Source organism: Homo sapiens, chromosome 17 (assembly GCF_000001405.40).
Source record: "Homo sapiens chromosome 17, GRCh38.p14 Primary Assembly".
NCBI classification, from domain to species: Eukaryota; Metazoa; Chordata; class Mammalia; order Primates; family Hominidae; genus Homo; species Homo sapiens.
In genome coordinates this window covers 65,532,944-65,554,334 of record NC_000017.11, presented here as the reverse complement: position 1 = coordinate 65,554,334, position 21,391 = coordinate 65,532,944, and the positions used below count along the sequence as shown (strand labels likewise).

The 21,391-nt window shown below is 49.7% G+C and overlaps 1 protein-coding gene across 12 annotated transcripts in view, besides 1 other annotated feature; it reads left to right on the top strand.

The window, feature by feature from the left end:
- Positions 1-21,391, top strand: part of AXIN2 (axin 2) — a 33,086-nt gene that overhangs the window by 7,314 nt on the left and 4,381 nt on the right. For 6 of the 12 annotated variants that reach the window (XM_047436870.1, NM_004655.4, XM_011525319.3 and 3 more), the window contains exons 3-10: positions 4,675-4,815; positions 12,778-12,880; positions 15,992-16,132; positions 16,500-17,011; positions 17,272-17,466; positions 17,782-18,015; positions 18,614-18,709; positions 20,256-20,423. In XM_047436870.1, the coding sequence (XP_047292826.1) occupies positions 4,675-4,815; positions 12,778-12,880; positions 15,992-16,132; positions 16,500-17,011; positions 17,272-17,466; positions 17,782-18,015; positions 18,614-18,709; positions 20,256-20,423 (1,590 nt within the window). The remainder of the gene's footprint in view (positions 1-4,674; positions 4,816-12,777; positions 12,881-15,991; positions 16,133-16,499; positions 17,012-17,271; positions 17,467-17,781; positions 18,016-18,613; positions 18,710-20,255; positions 20,424-21,391) is intronic. The other 6 variants (XM_047436872.1, NM_001363813.1, XM_047436873.1 and 3 more) reach the window with 1 other exon arrangement.
- Positions 11,478-11,678: a silencer, noted in NCBI's record as "peak2942 fragment used in MPRA reporter construct". NCBI's record gives its function as "represses an SCP1 promoter by STARR-seq MPRAs in K562 erythroleukemia cells {active_cell/tissue: K562}" and the evidence as "EXISTENCE:reporter gene assay evidence [ECO:0000049][PMID:32103011]".

Sequence of the window (21,391 nt, the reverse complement as noted above, 5' to 3'; positions counted from 1 at the left end):
AGCCCTGAACGCACAGACTTAGAAGCATATACTTTTGAAGTTGCATTGTTTTGAGAAGGGAACGTGAGGAGGAGGAGGAGGAAGAGGAAGAGGAGGAGAAGGAGGAGGACCCCTATGGTCAGTTCTGTCAGGTCAGTTCTGTGCTCCCTGCCTGGAGGCTCCCCTCTGGTTTATGGGGAGGGGCAGGGCCACAGCATCTCATTAAGAGGAGATAAGAACAGGATAGGGGAAAACAGAAAGCAGCCGGCACCTCCTTTCCCTGAAGGTTCCGGGGGTCTCTGCCACCTGCAGGCTGAAAACCCTTTGCTTACTGAGGTTGCAAACCAGGTCTGTGGATGTGAGGCTGATGCAGAAGCTGCAGCATAGGCCTCTACTCTGTGTAGGAATTTAAAATCCTTGCAGCAACTGGAAGCACAACAGTCCTGAGGAAATAAAGCATCTGGGTACAATTACTGTAGCGTGGTTTGAGTTTCCTCCCCCCCCCCCCGCCTTTTTTTTTAAGTAATCACAAGAAAACAGCCCCACTCCGTTTTCTTAAAATTATGTGGCACTTTTGACAAAGGTCTGGGTTCTGAAATACCGAGTCTCTGCCTCTCCCCACAACCCTGCCTCCTTTCTCTGCCCTGTCTTGTTATGATTGTGGGAAAATCCAAGTACTTTATTGCAGTCAACTGAGTTAAGAGCAGTATATTCCATTTTTAATTACTGGTCACACAGTAGTCCTCTATGTTGGAAGTGAAGGGAGACAAGTTTATTTTGGGATCCATGTGTTAAACAACGAGTGCAAAGCCGTGTGAGCACACATAGGGTTTGAGTTAGGTGTCTTTTTTGCTGGGAGGAAGGAATTTTCTATTGAGTCATTTTCTCCCCACAGAGGTTGAAGTATAGCTCTTACAGTGGAGACATGGTTGATGTGTTAATACCACCAAGATAGCAGGACTGAAGGCATGGAAGAAAGAGTGTTTGAATGCTATTTAAGGCTGTTTTGGCTTTTTTGGTGTTGCACCATGCCTGTTAAACTAAAAAACTTTTCCAGTGACCCATCTAATGGTCTTAGGTCCTTTAAGGAGAGTCAGCAAGGTTTTCAGTCACTGCCACGTGCCACTCACTACTTTCAGCGTCGGAGATTCGTGTGAGGACAGGGCTGTCCCTCATGGAGCTTACAGTCTGGTTTCACAGGACAGGTGTTCAACATGGAAACACCAGTGTCCAGTCATTATAGATCATGATAAAGATGATGAAGGAAATTAGGGCAGTTGAGAAAATGGGAGCTCTCTGGTTTTTTGTTTTTGTTTTTGTTTTTTTTGAGATGGAGTTTCATTCTTGTTGCCTAGGCTGGAGTGCAATGGTGTGATCTCTGCTCACCACAACCTTTGCCTCCCGGGTTCAAGCGATTCTCCTGCCTCAGCCTCCCGAGTAGCTGGGATTACAAGCACGCGCCACCACGCCCGGCTAGTTTTGTATTTTTAGTAGAGACGGGGTTTCTCCATGTTGGTCAGGCTGGTCTTGAACTCCCGACCTCAGGTGATCCACCCATCTCGGCCTCCCAAAGTGCTGGGATTATAGGCGTGGGTCACCGTGCCTGGCTGGGGCTCTCTGTTTTTGTTGGCACTCGGTTTTTTCTTGGAATTTTCCTGTGATTTCCCCCAAATTACTGTGCCTTTGTTGGTTCATTTGGAGGACCTCAGAACTTGGTGCAGAGGCCATGATCCAACTGCCTGCTCTTCAGGTGGGTGCCCACCTCTGGAGGGGTTGTGACTCAGCCCAGCAGTGAGCACTGCAGCCAAGCCGGCAGCAGTGCCCAGCCTCTGACTTCTGGTCCCTACTGAGAGTTTACAGAATGTGGCCTCATCACTGGATTCCTAACAACAGGAAAAGGCCCCAAGGAAGTCATCGTGTGCATCCTGCTTCAAGGCAGTATCCACGCCTTACTTACGCACCCAGATGGCTGGGCACTTTGGCCTGTTTTAAAGACTTGGGTGATTTCACAGCCTGTCCCCACCTACTTTATGGATTTCCTCTGACCATTTAGAAGTATTTTTTTCTCTCTAACTTTTGAAGTCTATTTCCCCTTGTTCTTCCTTTAGTGGGGATGCTGAACAGAGAGTCCCCCTTCTCAACTACGAGGCCTTTTTCACTGAATCAACCTTCTCTTCTCCAGAAGAATGAACTGTTCTTTTTACTCTCACCACTCCTCTCTGCCCTTGGTGTTGGGGAATTCCGGATTGAGGACACATGGACCAGGAGGAAGGCCTGGAAGATCTTACCGTTCTCATTTAATTTTCACCAAAAAAATCCCAGGAGGTCGTGAGACTTCTTGCCCTCTACAGATATGAGAACAGGGTCAGAGTGTCCAAGTGACGGTCACAAGTCACTTGGTCAAAAGTGTTGAGGGGTTCATGTGCAGTGCTCCTGGTCTGCACCTTCTGGTCAGTTCTATGCCTACAGCATATTTCTAAGATCTGACTTGATGCAGTCGGACAGGATCCAGGGCACAGCTGTGGTCCGGCTCCTCTGGCCAAGTCTGACAAGGCCTTTGGCCCACATGGTGCTAAGTTACCTCCTTGGGTGGTTGTGATGATTACAGGGGTCCCTTCTGGCTTAAAAAGTTTATGGCCCTGTAACTTTTTGTGTGTGTTTGGTGACTCCAACAAGCGCAAACTCCTTAAAGGCAGAGACTGCCTCTCCTACCTTCTTTTCCATCCCACCATCCCCTGTTGAGACAGACCCTCACACCAAATTGTGGCGGTGGCTTCCCCCAGGGCTCCCTGCCTGTACCTACCCCTCCTTTCCATCCAGTCTGGTGACAGACCTTGGATCCTATGTGCTGATGGGAATGCTTTCTCCCTGCCGGTCCCCTGGCACCCCTGCTGTCCCCTGGCCTCCTGGCCCCTCCCCATCCAGTTAAGACAGGACTATGACCTTGCACTGAAGACCTACGTCCCTTGCCAGGCCTTCTTAGCCTGGCTAATTAGACCCCTCTCTCTCCCTAGTCTAGGGAGAGCTTTTCGCTACCTTTCCCTTTTTTCCCTTTACCTAGTCCTGGGTTGTCATCTCCTCAAATTCCTGCTCAACCATGAGTCCCATCTGCCATCTGTCCCAGGGAGTCCCGTTAGTCCCATTAGTCCCATCAGTCCCATCTGTCCCAGGGAGCCGTCCCCAACTGTCCCTCCTAGAAATGTTCTATCCGTCATCTGGGTTACCTGTACTAAGGCACTCCTTTCCTGCTTTTTATTCTGTGAGAACTTGGAAACATGTTGAGTCTAGTCTTTGTATTGGGAGGCAGTTTGATTGAGAGCCACGTGACTCAATCCATGCCCACCAGTTCCAGCTGTGTGATCTGGGCAGGCTGCTGGAATTCTGGACTCCAAGGGCCTCATCTGTAGAATGGGCACAGTCCAGTGCTCCTTCTCCCCTCCTCGTGAGCCTGTGATAACACTGAGCGTACCTCCCTCATGACACCCCCACAGTATGGTGACATGCCCCCACCAGGCCATGGGTGCTGGAAGACCAGAGTTCAGCATGTAGCAAGTGAGTAGGAGCTTGGTGAACATGTGCAGACAGCTGACTGTCACCTTTCTGGGTCCTTTTCATTTGCCAACCCCACGGCCATCTTTACAGACCAGCTGCTGTGGACTAATAGAATATATTCTCTTTTCTGAGCCTTTCTTTTCTCCCTCACTTGATTTCTTTGCTGCTGGCATAGACTTGGTGGGACCAGTGGAGGATGCCAGGGTCTTTGTAAATAGGCCTCCTGCGACTTCAGGCCTTAACGTGCAGCCTGCCGACCTATCTGCCCCTCCCCGCTACTTAAGCCCCTCACTGGTGACACAAGAGGAATGCGGCCCAGCAGGAGATGTGCACACTGGTTGTTCTGGAAGGAGATCAGGAGGGTGAAATTAGGAGCCAGAGGCCATTGAAACAAAAGGGCTGGAGATACCGGAGGAGGGGCCTGGGCCTTCCTTTGAAACAGCTGTGTTGCTCATTTCAATCCTGCTGCACTAGCCAGTCCTGGGGAGAGGAAGCTGGGGGTTGGGGGAAGGGGCATGGCAACGGCTCATGGCAGAGCTCACAGGTGGGATTGGAGTCCTGAACGTTGTCTTGAACTTTTCTGTCCCGTCTGTCCAGCTCACTGTGGGCCCAGGGTCAAAGTGAGAAGGCCACACTGGCCTCTAGCTGTTTGCATCTCTGGACTGGGCTAACAGACCCCAGACAAGGAGTTTAGGTACTTAAGATGTCTTGGGGCCCTGAAATTGTATTCTTTGGTGCAGGATTGGATAGGGAGGTGGAGCAGAGAAAGATATTTCATCTTCACTGACTCGTTCCCCTCTTCTATTCCATGGCCTCCTCTCCTAAAGCAGAGTCCAGTTCCTTCCTCTAAGTGCATTTAGAGCTTCACAGGATCCCCTGGGCTGCCTCTGGAATACTCTCTGCCCTGGCAGACCCACCACTGGGGGCAGAGGAACCAGCTTGCTTTCCCCAGGGTGAACCGGTGGCTCAGGAGGCCTCCCTTTTGTGGCCCCTGCTTTCTGCCCAGGTGAGCAACTGGACCTGGGCAGCAGGTTGGCGTTGAGCAGATTGTGGGATAGTGTGCTGGGTTGTCCTGGGGTCACCTGATTACCTGGGTTTCTGGTGAGGGTCAGTGACTGAACCACTTTTGTACTTTGCCCATAGGTCCTTCAAGAGGAGCGATCCTGTTAATCCTTATCACATAGGTTCTGGCTATGTCTTTGCACCAGCCACCAGCGCCAACGACAGTGAGATATCCAGTGATGCGCTGACGGATGATTCCATGTCCATGACGGACAGCAGTGTGTGAGTATCCTGGCCACCCTTCCGTGGGCTTGCTTGGGAGTGGATGCCACCTGAGCACTTAGCCAGAATCGTCTGTCATCCTCAGCTGGCTTTGCAGACCGCACCTGTGCATGTATGGACATCAGTTTGGTGGGAGGGGAGTATGACAAGGGTATGGTGCTGATTAAGGAGGATGACATGGTCATCTGGGTAGGGTAAAGCTTAGAGCTTTGAAAGTTGGGAGGATATTGTAACAGAAGAAAAACTAAAGGACAGTAGAAGATTAGGATGAATGAATATTTATAGATTCCTTGAGTTTAAAAAACCTTCTTCTGGTTGTCATCATCTGGTTGTCCCTGTGGGAACAGTTGCTTGGCTGGTCCAGAAACCCAGGTATCCTGTCTGCAGAACCAACAGCTGGGAGACAAGGTGGCATTAGAAGGGTCTGTGTTTAGGTATTCATTGTTTTTGGAGGAAAAGGCATTGCAAGTGGGGGTGAGAAAGCCAGAAATCTCTAAAGAGCCACAGTGTGTAATGTTCCGCATTGTTTTGTTTTTAAATGGACATCGTTTATTCAGTAAGTGTGGGTGGAGTGTTAGATACTCTGTGTTAGATACTGAGGACCCTAAGTAGGGGCTCTCTCCAAAGTAGTGTCTGATCTGGATCTTTGGCAGACAGCCTTTGATTTTTGAAAGTAACCCAAGACATTGGCGTGGTCCGATGAGGTCAGAAGGCCCTTAGTCAAGGTAACATTTTGAATTTTAGGTCATTTGAAGTCAAGTCATGGCAATCTCTGTGGATGGACAGCAGTGATCCTCAGTGAGTCTCATGAGGAGGGATGTGTAGCTGTGGCCTGGGTATCCCTGTCTCCGGCTGTCCTTTGAGGTTTTGGTTCAGGAGACCCAGAGTGGAGCCTGGGGATAGGGGATGGGTAAAATTCCCCAAAGGCTTCTCACCCAACACCCGGTTGAGATTCATTGTTCCAGAAATGGTCTTGAAAGCTTTTCAATGTTTTGGAGTCAGAATTTCGCCTGCTAAAGGAACAATTTTGAAAGGCAAACCCATTGAACCGTGTAAGTTCTGGCACACTTATTTAGAGTTTGTTCCTTTTAGCTTCCTAAAACTGGACCATCTATTATTCCAGTTTGTTTGAAACTATCTGGTTTTTACTGGCCAATGTCCTGTTGCCTGGCCTGTGGCATGGGACCAGTTGGAGGGAAAGTTGATGAGGTGAGTTTGGGAACCTACTATTTATTTTGCTGGTGGCTTTTATTGTGTTACCTCAAATTCCCTTGTTAGTACAGGGAGAGATATCCTCAAGGTGAAAGTTTGAATTTTAATAAAAATAGCATTTTGGCATTAGTACACGTCTTTCATCCAATATGGAAACAGGAAAGTACACATCTTTCATCCAATATGGAGATATGAGAAGTTTCACAGAAGTGAGTTTTCCATATTGACTGAAATTTCGGTATCCATACTTGAAAAAATTGTGCTTTGATAATTTTTTGGTGGACATATTTCTTAGAATACATTTTGCTCTGTCATTATTGCATAGTATTAGACAGGGCATAATTTATCTCTCAGTTATCCAAATAATATCAAGATCTGTTTGTGTACTTTGTTGTGGTATTTCTCTCATAGGCAATGAGGGTGCATAGGGTTATCTGACCCTTTCCCCTTTGAAAAGTTTCTCTTTTCTCTTTTCATTCTCCCTGCTGTTGTGTTTTGCTGTCTGTGTGCTTGCTTCTAGCAAGCATTCCTCCTGTAGCATATATTACTTTGTGGATTGTGTGGGAATCTTAGCATTATGTGTAAAATAAGAGTAAGTTGAAATTGATTGAAGGCATTGAGTGAATCTCCTAAGTCAAATGCAGTTTACGTCAGACGATAAGACTTCTGTTTAGTTTTCTTAGAGACTATTTTTGGCTTGCTTCCTGGTCCTTGGCTGCATGTCAGTCCCCATCATTGAGGTGTTATTCTGGGTTCATGATGAGATAACTTGGGTGTAGTCCCATACTTATTTCTGTTTGATCCTCCCAAGACCCAATCAGGAAGGCAGGCAGGCAGATACTTGGGACTTTACAGATGAGGAAATAAGGCCTGGTGCTTCCACAGCCATGCACCTCTGAGACAGACTTCAGGTCCAGGCCAGACACAGGCCCTGTACTTTGCCCGCTTTGCCCTTCCCCCAGGCATGAGCGTTCTCAACATGAGATCTGTGAATAGGACCGGTTGGTCATGAGACCTTTGAGCCACTTTGGGTTTCTTTTATTTATATTTCTTAGTAATCAAGACTGCTTTTTAGAAAGACTGGTTCTGGGAGGGGTAGAAGGGAGCAGGTTCTAAGTTCTCCCCTGCAGCCTCCCCATTTACTTCCTCTTCTTTTATCCCCTTCCCAGAAGAAAAACTTTCTTTTATTTAGAGGTGACTTTAAAGCTTTCACCCTTCCCCCTTTAGCTGAAGCACTTTGGATTCCAAGCATGGGGGAGCCACTTTTCAGGGATCAGAAAGGTTACCTTTGCCAGTCCCTATTCTAGGTGGCAAGGGTTAGTGTGTAGTTCAGTGAGGTCCACTTGGATACAGAGACAGAACAGGTCAAGTCCCTCATGTAGCGGCTTTCTCTTTGGGGCACAGTAGATACCTTTGGGTTCCTGGTGGCAGAACCTGTGAGTATTAATAAGCCTATCCTGTGGCAAAGCTGCCTTGGATGGATAGTGAATAAACCAGGAAGCCAGGAGGAAGTGCTGCAAGGCCTAGAGACCCGTGGGCTCATGGTGTTGGCTCTGTTCGTCCTGGTGGTGTTGAGTGGCTCTGTGCCCTCTCCCAATCAAGTGCGCAGGTTATCAGATTAACTGTCACAGTTGTGCCCACCTGGGCATTTATACTAATTAGGAGTGCATTTGGCATCCATGTGGGGTCACTGTCTCTTGGGCATTGTCTCATGCTGCCTCTAGTGGGGCTCACTAGAAAACATCAGAAGGGTCTCCAGACTTGTTGGCACTGACTCAAGCTGCCATTGGGTGCCAGGCATGGGGGTCTCTGGGGCCCTCCCCACTCTGCTGCAAGCAGACTTGGCGATGCAATGTGTTCTCTGGCCGACTGGCCCTGGGTGTGTGTGATCCTGCCCAGCACCGGGCGGTCACCCGGGATTCCCAGGGCTGGGATCAGACCTCCTCTTCAGAACTCTGCCAATTGTAGGCCTCGTGCAGATGAGAGCGCCGGGCGAGAAATAAAGTGTGTGGGGGATGAAAAGCTGAACTGAATCGCTTTCAGCCCATTGTTCATCCCGGGAAGCTTAGAGGGGATAAGAGGGTAGCAGGCCCCTTTGAAATTTCCTTGAACAAGTGAATAGGAGCGCCCCATAAAGCATGAAAAGAGCCCTGGCTGTTTCTCCCGTCACAATGGCCAGTGCGGGCTGTGAGGGGCTGGGGAGGGGGGCTGGCTGCCCTGCTGGGAGCTGGGGAGGGAACAGGGCTGGGGAGGGGGGGAGAGGGAGAGAGGGGGTCACAGGCAGCCTTCAATAGACTCCAGAAGGTTGGAGTTCATTAGACACAAACCCAGGAAAGCAATCGTCTCATTTGCGACAGAACCAATTAAGTCCTGGGGGCCTTTGCAAGAGGCCTGGGTAGAAGTTGGGGCAGTGCTGGCCTGCACTTGGTTGGTTATTCCAGGGAGCCACATGCCGGGGCCTGAGTGTGCAGAGCAGGCAGGGGCTTTAAAGAAATCATTGCCTTCTCCCAAAGCCTACTGCTGACTTCTGTTTTCCTGCTAAGTAAAAAGTCCTGTTAAAGATGGCTGGGCATTTGGGCCTCTGAGAAGGCTGTTTTATGAGCCTGTTACTCTGAAACCTGCATTCTCGGAAGAAATGGCTTAATTTTTTTTTGAGACAGAGTCTCACTCTGTTGCCAGGCTGGAGTGCAGTGGCGCGATCTTGGCTCACTGGAACCTCCGCCTCCTGGGTAGCTGGGACTACAGGCGTGCACCACCACGCCCAGCTAATTTTTCTATTTTTAGTTGAGACGGGGCTTCACCATGTTGGCCAGGATGGTCTCGATCTCTTGACTTCGTGACCCACCCACCTCGGCCTCCTAAAGTGGTGGGATTACAGGCGTGAGCCACCACAACCTGCCAAAAAAAATTTTTTTAACGTTAACTGCCAGACTCCCACCAAAATCCTTGCAGCACTGGAGGCAGAAGGCTTGTGGGCCATTCCAGGGCATCAGGCTTAGAAGGATGGAGTAAAGAGGGTGAAAATGTCAGAAGCAGCAGACTCTTTGCCGCCCAAGTGTAGCCATGGTTAGATGTTGCCAGGAATCATGAAAGCTAAGTCAGTGGTGTGGAGGCCTTTGTCTCTTCTTTCTGCTAGGAGTTGCTCTTGTAATCAGGATCAGCTACGTTTGTATGTTGCTTCAGCTCTGAGTGTCCCCAAATCAGCACAAGATGATTTTTTGGTGTTTCACACAGGGAATGTCGCGAGTTATTTATTTGTATTTCTTTATATCTTATTTATGGGGGTTTACTTTGGACACCAGGAAATGCATCTGAGTGAACTTCAAATACTAACCTTTTCCTACAAACCAGGCTTTTGATGTTGGCTGTGATCAGAGGCTGCCTTCAGAGTGGTTGCCAAATGAAGATGCGAGTGGACGCATGTGTGCATGAGTCTGCTATTTCAAAGTCGCCAGAAAATGACATTCAGGTTAGGTCGGGCACGGTGGAGTCAAAAGGCTAAGCTAATTGGCTCGGCTCAAATGGCAGCTAAGTGGAGTCCACACTTCAAAACCATGCTCCCCAGAAACAGCTGGGCCCGGCAGCAGGCTCGTTAACTAAAATGTTTATAATTAAAGGAGACCGTATAGGGACCACAACTCTGGTGCTCTCCAGCCCACAGGCTTGAGCAGCCAGGAAACTGATCACAGACTTTTAGAGCTTGAATAAAAGAAGAGAGGCCCCCTTTTGGAATGAGGGGCTGTTTTGGAAGAAGATTCTTGGCTGGAGGGAATTAAAGCCACATTTCCTTGAAGGTGCCTGTTAAGCCTTTCTGAGCCTCTACAGGCTGACATCTTCCTTTTCTGCTCTGGTTACAAGTTGCCTTTCCAGCAGTTTAGTCCTTCACCTGCCCTGGGTAATGGAGTGTGTGTGGTGGTGGTGGTGGGGGATGGGGGGCGGGGTATGAGGTGCTTATGAAATCATTTGTTCCTTTTGCCTTCAATATTGCAGTTATCTACTCCCCTCCCCATCCCTACCCCCATCCTGTTTTTTTTTTTTAACCTTATTATATGGAAGAAGAAAAAGAGGCATAAAAGCTCTACCACTGACTTTCATCTGGGAGAAGGAAGAGTGAAAGCTACCAGTGGAAATGTCAAGAGTCTTGGAGGGGGTGGACGGGGGACTCTTCTAGGACTCTTGAAGCCTTATGTCACTTGTGTCATGGTGGGGTCCATGGAGTGCTTGACTCCTGCCCCCAAGACTGTCAGGAACAGGGCTGAAGCAGAGTCATCCACTGTCTAAGTCCCTAGAAGAGAGATGGAGGATAGACATTGTCTTACAGCCCTAGGGCAGCAGAATTTGGTTAGACCAGCATGAGCCCAATCTGTGGGATACCGCCACCCCTACCATACAAGGTATCTTAGGTGAGAGATGGGGATATTCAGCATGGCTTGGGAACCACCTGGCGAGCCCCATAGCTAGTGAGTACTAGGTGGTTGGGGAGGACTTCCCAGAAAATTCCACAAATTTCCCCCTCATGCCTTATCAATGTCAGGTGACTGCGTGGGGCTTAGGAAATGGCATCTCCACATTAAGACCATCAGGAAGCTTGACTGCTGATTGGGGCTGGGAAGGGCATCTTATTGAAATGACCAAGTGTAGGTTGTTACAGATGCCTGTTCTGGAGTCCAGCAGTGGCTTGGGTATGAGTTGTCAATCTGCTACTGACTGTAACACTAGGTGAGCTATTGAGCATTTCTGGTCATCTGTAAAATGTGGCTCATTAAGGTTCTTATGAGAATGAAGTCTGATTATAGGTCCAATGTCTGACGTACAGTAGGGACTCGGTATCTATGAGCTGGCATTCTCAGGTTGGCATCAGTTGCCTTGGGTGCGATTTGGTTTCTGGTCAAGCCAGGCATGCTTATAAGTCCCGTTTTCAGCTACCCAAGGTGAAGACACAGAGTTTTGATAAATAATCTTTAGGTGGGCTTGGTCAGGTGCCGAGCCTCATGAGTAGGAGGCTGTTTCTCAGTCATGAGTAGAAGACGTGTTTCTCCAGCACTGGTCAGCCAGCTGCTGCGAATCCTTCCCACAGTGCTCTGTCTCTGCTCCATACTTACCTTTCTTTGGGGCAGTACTCACACTTGGGGGTAAGTTGTTGCTCTGGATACTGATCTCTCTTCTCTCCCTTCCCTACTCACCTCAGTGCAATTATCGTTTATGCACTCCTTAGCCAGGGTTTGGTTAACATACATTGGTTTGTTGATCTATTGGAATCTTCATTGTCCCTTGTGTTCCTGTTTTCTGACCTAGGTCAGTAGACTTCCTGAAAATGCAGCTATTTAGAATTCTAGGGCATTTCAGATAAGGAGCTAGAGGTTGACTAGTTACTCCTGGCTTGCCCCCTGGGTATTTTTAGACATTGCTAATTATCCTATTTTTCTTCCACCCTATGATGAACCAGACATTGGGGAAAGGGAAGTAGCCAAACACCCAATTTCAATATTTACAGCCTCCAAGTATGATTCATTATGAAAATGTTTGCACCCTGAGGCTTTTGTAAATAAGTGGCCTCCTGAAGGGACATCAATGGGAAAATAGTCACACCTTGACCATTCTGCTTTTAAGAAGGAAATTCTTTCTGGAAAAAATCATGGCAACTCTAGGTCATAGTTGTAGTGAACACTAGCTGGAGTGGCAGCTTTTTAAAAATTCTTCTACTTGTTAATGTTTTGTTTTTAAAAATATAATGGATAGGGGCCCATACTTCTTCAGGTCTTTGCCCAAAGGTCCCTTTCTCAATGAGGACTTGACACCCACATCCAATTTAAATTTGCAGCTTACCCACTCACCAGTGATTCTCCTTTTCCTGCTGTGTATTTATTCATAGTACATATCACTAACATACTATTTTTTATTTTGTTCATTGCCTGTGCCTCCCCATTAGAATGTAAACTTCAAGAGGGCAGTTGTTTGAATTATGTATCCACTTTGTCTACTGCTCTCTTGCCTAGTGCCTAGGAGAAGATCTGGCACATAGTAGGTGCTAATCTTTAAATGGATTGCACAGACCACCACATAGTAGGGGCTTTTCTCTTCATGCCCACATTGGTCATGTGTCTTTGAAAATTCATTGGTTGGGGGTGGTAGGGTTTGGAGCTGAGAGAAGGGGCCTAAATGTTATATATTCTTTTTATTAATCACGCTGTACTGGTTTATAAAAAGAAATACATTTGGAAATGACTAGGAGGTTGACTTGGAGAGTTATGCATGCTTCACTAATGCCTGATTTAGCCCTCTGTAGGTTTGGTTCTTATCCCTACAACTTTCTGCCCTGGCCCTATCCATAAGGCACTGGTTCCTGGTTTGAAGCAGTGGGAACAAGTGGGAGGACCAGTGGGGCCTGAGAATCTCCTACTTAGGGCACCTGTAAAATAGGGGAGCCTTTGCTCTGCCTGGGCTGGCTGGAGTGTAACCCAGTTCTAAGACAACAGTCCGAGAGATTAACTTTCCAGGCTCTTTCCAAGTTGATGCTTCTGCATCCAAGGAAGCCAAGTTTCCATAGATGATTGATGGGCAGGATTTAAATTTGACCTTGGGTGGGTCCTTCCCTGTGGGAGCACCGATGGTATCTGGAGACATGTGACACTCCTATGGAAGCATGTGGCCCTGTCGGCGGGATCTCAAGATGGCATATGACAGTAGCCCATGTGATGTGCTGAAAACATCCTCGTAAGCCTGTGGATTCTGTCTTTTCCTTTCCCTTAGAGATGGAATTCCTCCTTATCGTGTGGGCAGTAAGAAACAGCTCCAGAGAGAAATGCATCGCAGTGTGAAGGCCAATGGCCAAGTGTCTCTACCTCATTTCCCGGTGAGTACAGTCTGGAGTGAGGAGACAGCTGTTTTCTGCCATGTTGAGTCCTAAAGAAAAGAAATGGGTGGTGGAATGGGGAGAGGTATAGGGAAGGTAGAAAAGAGCAGTACCTAAGGTCCCCTAGGGCAAAGGGAGAGAAAAGAACTGGACAATAGGCATTACATGGTTTTTTGGGTTGTGATGGTGAGCACAGTGATGTGATTATGAGGTATCAGTCAGTTTTGCTATAAAGGAATACCTGAGGTTGAGTAATTTATAAAAAGAAGAGGTTTACGGCTGGGCACAGTGGCTCATGCCTGTAATCTCAGCACTTTGGGAGTCGGAGGTGGGCAGATCACCTGAGGTCAGGAGTTCGAGACCCAGCCTGGCCAACATGGTGAAGCCCCACCACTACTAAAAATACAAAAATTAGCCTAGCGTGGTGACGTGCGCCTGTAGTCCCAGCTACTTGGGAGCCTGAGGCAGGGGAATCACTTGAACCTGGGAGGTGGAGGTTGTAGTGAGCTAACGCCAGTGCACTCCAGCCTGGGCGACAGAGCGAGACTCCTTCTCAAAAGAAAAAACAAAGAAAAGAGGTTTATTTGGTTCATGGATCTGCAGGCTATTCAAGAACCATGGCGCCAACATCTGCTTCTGGTGAAGGTCTCAGGGAGCTTTCAATCATGATGCGCAAGGGGAAGGAGAGCCAGTTTGTAACATAGCGGGAGAAACAGCAAGCTGAGGTTGGGGGGGTGGTGGGCAATGCCATGTTCTTTCAAACAACCAGATCTCATATGAACTACAGGGAAAACTTGCTCATTACTGCAGGGAGGGCACGAAACACCTCCCACTAGGTGCACTTCCACCATTGGGGATCATATTTCAACATGAGATTTGGAGGGGACAAGCATCCCAACTATGTGAGAGGTTTGATGACCTATTTTTGAACCTTTGCATTTTCTGAATTCAAAAAAAAAATTCCCTATCAGAAAGAAACTGAAGCACTTATTTCCCAGAAACTAAGAAATGCTAGATGATCCATGCTTCTCTACAGCTTGGTGAGCTCACTGTATTTCCACTAGAATGGAAGCCCTCTGATGGGAGGGAGTTTTATCTATTCTGTTAACCTCTGTATGCACAGAGACTAGAACAGTACCTGACACATAATAGGTGCTCAATAAACATTTGAGTGAATGAATAAGGAACCTCTGCCCCCCCTTGGGACATCCTCCTGCTCTCTTCACTGGGACATTCTACTTCTTGTGTCAACCACAGGACTCCAAGTCATTTTAGTCAGTGATTTTAGTCATTTATTTATGTATTCATTGACCATTTCTCCTCCTGGCTCCTGAAGCCCTGGAGGGTAGCTGTTCCTTTCCAACTCCAGAACTTGGCTTGGTACCTGCTGGTGAGTCTGTGCCTATCAAATGCGGAATGAACGAAGTGTTTAGAAGTGAGGATCTCCTGAGCAGCTTCTTCCTGTGACTGAGATGGTGGATGAAGGGCTCTTCTGGGACCTCTGCTTTTATTTCCATGCTTGCTAAAGCAGCCAGCACATGGCTGTACTCAAGAGAACTTCCCCATCTACATTCCCATTTTAGGGCTGTGCTGTTTACAACAGCCTCAGATCCAGGTTGCAAGGAGGGGAGGGGAAGAAAGCACCCAGCTCACAGCAGGTGTTTATGAATCCTTCCTGCCAGCTTCAGAGAATCTAATTGGTCTGGTTATGTTGTGTTTAAAAAATTAACACATTGAATTGCTAAACCCATGTTGCATTAGTGCACAAACTATAGCTCTTCTCTGAAAGCTCCTCACACAGACAAGGGCAGACTTACCTTGTTTTAAAATTAGCATATTAAAATTGCTTTTCTGAGGACCTCTAGCATCCCCTCCCTCTACAGATAACAAGTATTGATGACATACTATCATTGTTTTTTTGACTGGGGGATATGTGAGTTAACAAAGAAAAGTTCTATCGCCCAAGCTTGTAAATTAGATGATTTTGTCCTGGGGTGTGCAAATCGACTTTCTCCATCAGGCAGCGCTTTGATCAGGGGCTGCAAGGAGCCAGCCTGTGTGAGAATGGCCACCTACACAGGAGCCTTTCTCTTCTTCCCCAGTTTCTGCAGCTAAGTGGTTGCCGTGGCAAGGCCCATCTTTTCAGCTGGGGGAGATGCTAGCCTTTGCAAGTTAGCTTTCTGCTACCCCCACCCCAGCCCAAAGAAAGGAGCTAAGCAAGAGGGAGATTAGGAAGAAGGAGGTAGAACAACTGGAGAGGTGGGGGGTTGGGTGGGGGGAGCGAGATGACAGGAAAAGGACAGAAAGCTGGGCAGCAGGGGTTCTCTCTGTTTGCTGCTTTTGGCAGGCGTACTCGGTGCCTTTTTATATTCTGCACTTGATTTGGAGATGTTCCCTTTTCCCTTGATAGATCAGCTTCAGGCAGCCAAGCTCAGCAGTGTTCTGCTACTAGCCTGCAGCAGCTTTCTTCATTTTCTGTACAAAGAGAGAGGGAGGAGGGAAGGAGAAAAACGAGGGAGATCGAGGACAGTGTTGAGACACCACCACCTCAAAGGTGCGCAGTGTGCGGCCAGGAAATAAATTACCACTTCTTCTCTGATCCAGGCCGTTTGACTCCCTTTTCCCCCACTTTCTTTCCTCCCACCTCCTTTCCAATCTTATTTTTTTAAATTTTCAACTCTCTTTCTGTTTAGATTCTACTTTCTATTCCTTGAGTTGGTCTCTCCCCTCCCCACCTCAGAGGGCTGCCTTTTTTTTTTTTTTTTTTTTTTTTTTTTTTTTTTTTTTGATGGTTGACAACAGTCTTTGAAGATTTTCTACTTCAAAGTAACTACTGATGGGCTGGTTGTACTACAGAAAGAACAAGCAGGGCCTCTCGGAGTGCGACCAACTGCTCCTGCCCAAGGCAAACGCTGGTGGGGACCATGGCTCTCCATGAGGCCATGGCGCTAGCGCATAAAAGTCCCGAGCAGCCCAGGCCGCCTTGCCATCCACTCTACACCCGAACATGGGTTTGCGGTGCACAGCGCCTGGTGCGGGAAGCTCCGGCCAAGCCACCGCCCACCTAGCCTGCTGAACGTGCCTCCTCCCTTTCCTTTCCACGTCCTGTAGAGAACCCACCGCCTGCCCAAGGAGATGACCCCCGTGGAACCCGCCACCTTTGCAGCTGAGCTGATCTCGAGGCTGGAAAAGCTGAAGCTGGAGTTGGAGAGCCGCCACAGCCTGGAGGAGCGCCTGCAGCAGATCCGAGAGGTAATGCGGCCTAGGCCTTCTTCCTGCTTCCGTCCACGGCGTGAGCGCTCGTATGTGTATGCGCATGTGCATGGGGTGCGTTAGGGTGTGCGCATGTGCGTGGGTTGCATGCGCATGCGCGTGGGCTGCGTGTGGGTGTGTGCCTGGGCGTGGGCTGTGTGCGCATGTGCATGGGTTGCGTGTGGGTGTGCATATGCGTGTGGATATGTGCTTGTGTAGGCGGGCCTGTGCGTGTGCGCATGGGCGTGGCTGTGGGCGTGCACACGGGTGTGCGTGCTCCTGCGTAGGGAGCCGAATGTTGCAACCCCAGGGCCTCTGGCCCTTCTGCTTCCTGGGTCACTTCTCCTTCTGACGTCTTCCCTTTCAGGATGAAGAGAGAGAGGGCTCCGAGCTCACACTCAATTCGCGGGAGGGGGCGCCCACGCAGCACCCCCTCTCCCTACTGCCCTCCGGCAGCTACGAGGAAGACCCGCAGACGATACTGGACGATCACCTGTCCAGGGTCCTCAAGACCCCTGGCTGCCAGTCTCCAGGCGTAGGCCGCTATAGCCCCCGCTCCCGCTCCCCGGACCACCACCACCACCACCATTCGCAGTACCACTCCCTGCTCCCGCCCGGTGGCAAGCTGCCTCCCGCGGCCGCCTCGCCGGGCGCCTGCCCCCTCCTCGGGGGCAAAGGCTTTGTGACCAAGCAGACGACGAAGCATGTCCACCACCACTACATCCACCACCATGCCGTCCCCAAGACCAAGGAGGAGATCGAGGCGGAGGCCACGCAGCGGGTGCACTGCTTCTGCCCTGGGGGCAGCGAGTATTACTGCTACTCGAAATGCAAAAGCCACTCCAAGGCTCCGGAAACCATGCCCAGCGAGCAGTTTGGGTAAGTGCCGGGCGGACCGCAGTGTCCCGTGTGGGGCTTGTCTCCCAGCCAGGTCCATGGGCAGGTGTGAGGTGGGAGCCGCATTACAGGCATTTAGTTTCTAAGAGGGCGGCAGAGTGCACGGCCGGGTGAGGGTGCGGGGAGCAGGTGCATGGGTCTTTCGTGTCACCAGCCCCCCGACTTGCTGAATTGTCTGATTCTAGGAGTCCCGGAGATTTAACCGGGTCTCTGGGTTGGGTGTGGTTCTTGGTTCCCCACAGCGGCAGCAGAGGCAGTACCTTGCCCAAACGCAATGGGAAAGGCACGGAGCCGGGCCTGGCCCTGCCCGCCAGGGAAGGAGGGGCCCCCGGCGGAGCTGGGGCCCTGCAGCTTCCCCGGGAGGAAGGAGACAGGTCGCAGGATGTCTGGCAGTGGATGCTGGAGAGTGAGCGGCAGAGCAAGCCCAAGCCCCATAGGTAAACACCGCTTGCCGCCGCCGCGGCCGCGAGGGTCATGGGCACTCAGTACGGAGGTATTGTGGGAATGGCTGTTTTTGCAGTCCGCGGAATACAAATGTGACTATTTGCTCCTGCCATCTTAATATTAAACGTTGGACTGAGCAGACCACAAAAATGTCATGTTTTGGCACTGACCCCTGTTCATGTTATGGTAGTTTTTTTTTTAACTCTCTCTCTGAGCAGAATAGACAAGTTTCTATTGAAGTCACATTTTCCAGTTCTTCTAACCCAGTTTCTTTCCTTCTGTTTTCTCTCTGCTCATTCCTTGTTTAGTGCCCAAAGCACAAAAAAGGCCTACCCCTTGGAGTCTGCCCGCTCGTCTCCAGGCGAACGAGCCAGCCGGCACCATCTGTGGGGGGGCAACAGCGGGCACCCCCGCACCACCCCCCGTGCCCACCTGTTCACCCAGGACCCTGCGATGCCTCCCCTGACCCCACCCAACACGCTGGCTCAGCTGGAGGAGGCCTGTCGCAGGCTAGCTGAGGTGTCGAAGCCCCCAAAGCAGCGGTGAGTGGAAGTGAAGGGTCCTAGGTTGAGGCAGGGATTGGGTTTGGGTGGAGACCTGGTCTGTGGCTAATGGGGAGGGCCTCTCTTTCTGCCTGGGTCTCAAACCCTCCCATGAGAAGAAGAATTACTTATGGATGAGTAAGCTGCTGCTTTCCAGCTTCTAGAAATTGTTCCCTTCAGTTATGTTCATTCTACTAGAGTTAAGCCAGGATCTGTGAGGCAAGTCATGCCTAGAATTGGGAGAATGAATTTCAGCAATTGCTTACAAATCCCATTCCTTACAAATGTCTTGATTGTTTAAGGCTGGTTAGTTGAGTATATAAGAAGCTGTGAGATGGAGGATCAAGAGTCCTCAGCCCTTTGCTGGGGCTGAGAATGTCCCATCCTGGGCTCCCAGGGGGGCTTAGAATGGCTGTTCCAAGACGTCTTCCTGGCCTCTTCAGCCACTGTTAACCCAGGGTCTTGGTTGGGTCTCCGTAAGGATGGAAGTCGGGTTCGTGTCTCTTCAGGAGGCCAAATAGTAATTTTCTGTCTGCTTTTCAATTGCTCTGGGGACAACAGTGTACCTCTAAATCCCTCGCCCTGGCTGTGTCCTCAGGTGCTGTGTGGCCAGTCAGCAGAGGGACAGGAATCATTCGGCCACTGTTCAGACGGGAGCCACACCCTTCTCCAATCCAAGCCTGGCTCCAGAAGAGTGAGTGTCTTTACCTGACATTACTGAGATCTGCCGAGTGCTTTATGTTTCAGAATATTCGCTATCTGGAGTTTCATTTTCATGAAACTTTTTTTGGTTTTTAAAATCACTTTGATTTTAGCGCTAGTGATGAGGAACAGTAAACGTAGATGTTGCCATCCATGTCCTGCCGACAAATGCATCATAGCAAAAGTTTTTCTGGTCATACACAAATCAAAAGCTGGGACATGAAGCCATTAGCAGAAGTGTAGAAGGGACCTCAAATTCAGCTGGAAAAGTTGCCCCCATTCAACTTGCAATTTAGTAGTACTGGAAACATTTGTCACCCCTGAGCAGAAAGATCATTCTCCACTGTGGCAGAGGTGGAGGGGACCATCCTTGTGTTTTTGTTTGGAGAAGACAGAATATCTTCCCCCAAATTGGGCAGTGATTCTTTTTGTAAATTTAGTCTCTTTCAAAGTAGGTTGAGGAGCCTGCTCGTTTAATTACTGGATGGTGCAATTAAAAAGAAATCTGCTAAAGAGATCTAAAATGGTCTGTATCAAGTTTTCTTTCTTAGTGTCTTCATCCTGAGCAATGAGCAATGTTTGAAGTCCTCAATAGGCCACTGCCCTGGACCCTTTCATTGTTTCAATTGGTTGACCCTAAGTGTACCAGCTCTCTGGGTCTGGGCCAGCCACTTTTTTTTTTCTTTTTGAGACAGAGTCTCGCCCTGTTGCCCAGGCTGGAGTGCAGTGGCTTAATCTTGGCCCACTGCAGCCTCCGCCTCCTGGGTTCAGGCAGTTCTCCTGCCTCAGCCTCCCGAGTAGCTGGGATTGCAGGCGCCCACCACCACACCCAGCTCCTTTTTTGTATTGTTAGTAGAGACAGGGTTTCGCCATGTTGGCCAAGCTGGTCTCAAACTCCTGACCTCAAGTGATCCGCCCACCTCGGCCTCCCAAAGTGCTGGGATTACAGGCGTGAGCCACCACGCCCGGCCTAGCAGCCTTTTTTTCAAGCCATTCTACAAAATCTCAGAAGAAATGGGGAAATGGACATGACTGTGTGATAACCCCCATTAGTTGTTCTCATTCTGCTGGAATAAGGGGTGGGCTTTAGGCATTCTGAGATCATGCCATCCCAAAGGTGTCCTGCTCTGGGTTTGTCTCTTTAGCACTCTCCAATCCAGGTGAGACCCGGCATCTCTGTGATAATTTCTCTTCTCTCATCTTCTTGAGGAAGCACCCCATTTATGCCAGCCTGAAAGAGGCCGCCGTATACTTTCATTTGGTGGCGGTGGGGGAAATGATACCAATTTGTACAACCAAAAGGAAATCATCCTTTTCTGCATGCTGCATGCAGCACATGTGGGGTTGGACTGTGTGTCCCCCAGAGCTGCCTGACTCTGGGATGTGGGGCTCTGCCCCAGCCCCCACTTTGGGTTTACAATTGCAGCCCTAGTGTTTGGATACCCTGTCACTTATGCACATGTGCGCACGTGTGTGTTTGCTTTAGATGTGTGTCTGCTTTAAAATGCTAAACTTGTTCCATTCCATCTTATTTTCAGTCACAAAGAGCCAAAGAAACTGGCAGGTGTCCACGCGCTCCAGGCCAGTGAGTTGGTTGTCACTTACTTTTTCTGTGGGGAAGAAATTCCATACCGGAGGATGCTGAAGGCTCAGAGCTTGACCCTGGGCCACTTTAAAGAGCAGCTCAGCAAAAAGGGAAATTATAGGTAAGAGTCCTGTGGCTTTTTTCTGCTCTCAGTTTGTTTGCTCAGAACCAAGAGCCAGAGCCTGGAGCAGCTCCCCTGGCTGAGCAGACCTAGGTGGGGCAGGGTGGGAGGGGGCTCAGCAGGCGCTGGGGGAGGCTCCCTTCTCATTTCTTCTCTCCCCTCACCGCTAGCAGCAATAACGAAGCAGCAGCCGCAAGAGGGAGGCTGCGTGGAGGGTTCTCTGGGGGACCTGGCCAGGCTCTTTCCACCAGGTGAACCAGACTGAGGAGAGAAAAGGAGCAGCTGCTTGCACCGACAGGAGAGTGGGGCTCAGGCCACACTGCAGAGGCTTTACCTGCAATTGAGGGGCTTGTGGGCGAGTGGGGAGCAGGGAGCAAAAAGAGGGACAGGCACACTGATTAGGAGGGAGGGTCTGGAAGCGCCGCCCTACTGGCTTGAGTTTAGGAGAGACCCCCACATTGAAGGCTCCAAATAGTCAGGAACCATGCCTAGGAAAAGTCCCCCGTGTTTTTCTTACCCTGCCTTTCCACCTGAACAGCCTCCCTGGATTTTATGGGCCATTAGAAGCAGAGATGCGCCTTTGTCCATAACAAAGAAGGGGCTGGACCTGCGGGTGGGCACAGGGTGAATAGGGCAGTCTACTCCTCCTGTCCAGGCCTGGGCCCCGCTGCCTTCTCCCCTGCAGGGGCTTCAGGAAGGGAACTTCCTGGTCTCCTTACCTTGTCTGCAGAGTGGACGGAGGTGCCCTTGAGAAGGTCCATGCTGACTTTTTAGGGCCCTTGAGAGGGTTCAAGAGCTGAGGAGGATGAGGGCCAGCCCTAGGCCATTCCTTCTCTTGATCATTTCCCTCGTAAGGAGCAGGTGATGACTCTGCCTCAGTTCATCTGGAGTCCTCCCTTGCCCCTCTCCATGGCCTGCAGCCCAAGAGAATGTGTGGATTCTGCTCCAGTTCTGTCCCAGGTTTCCCA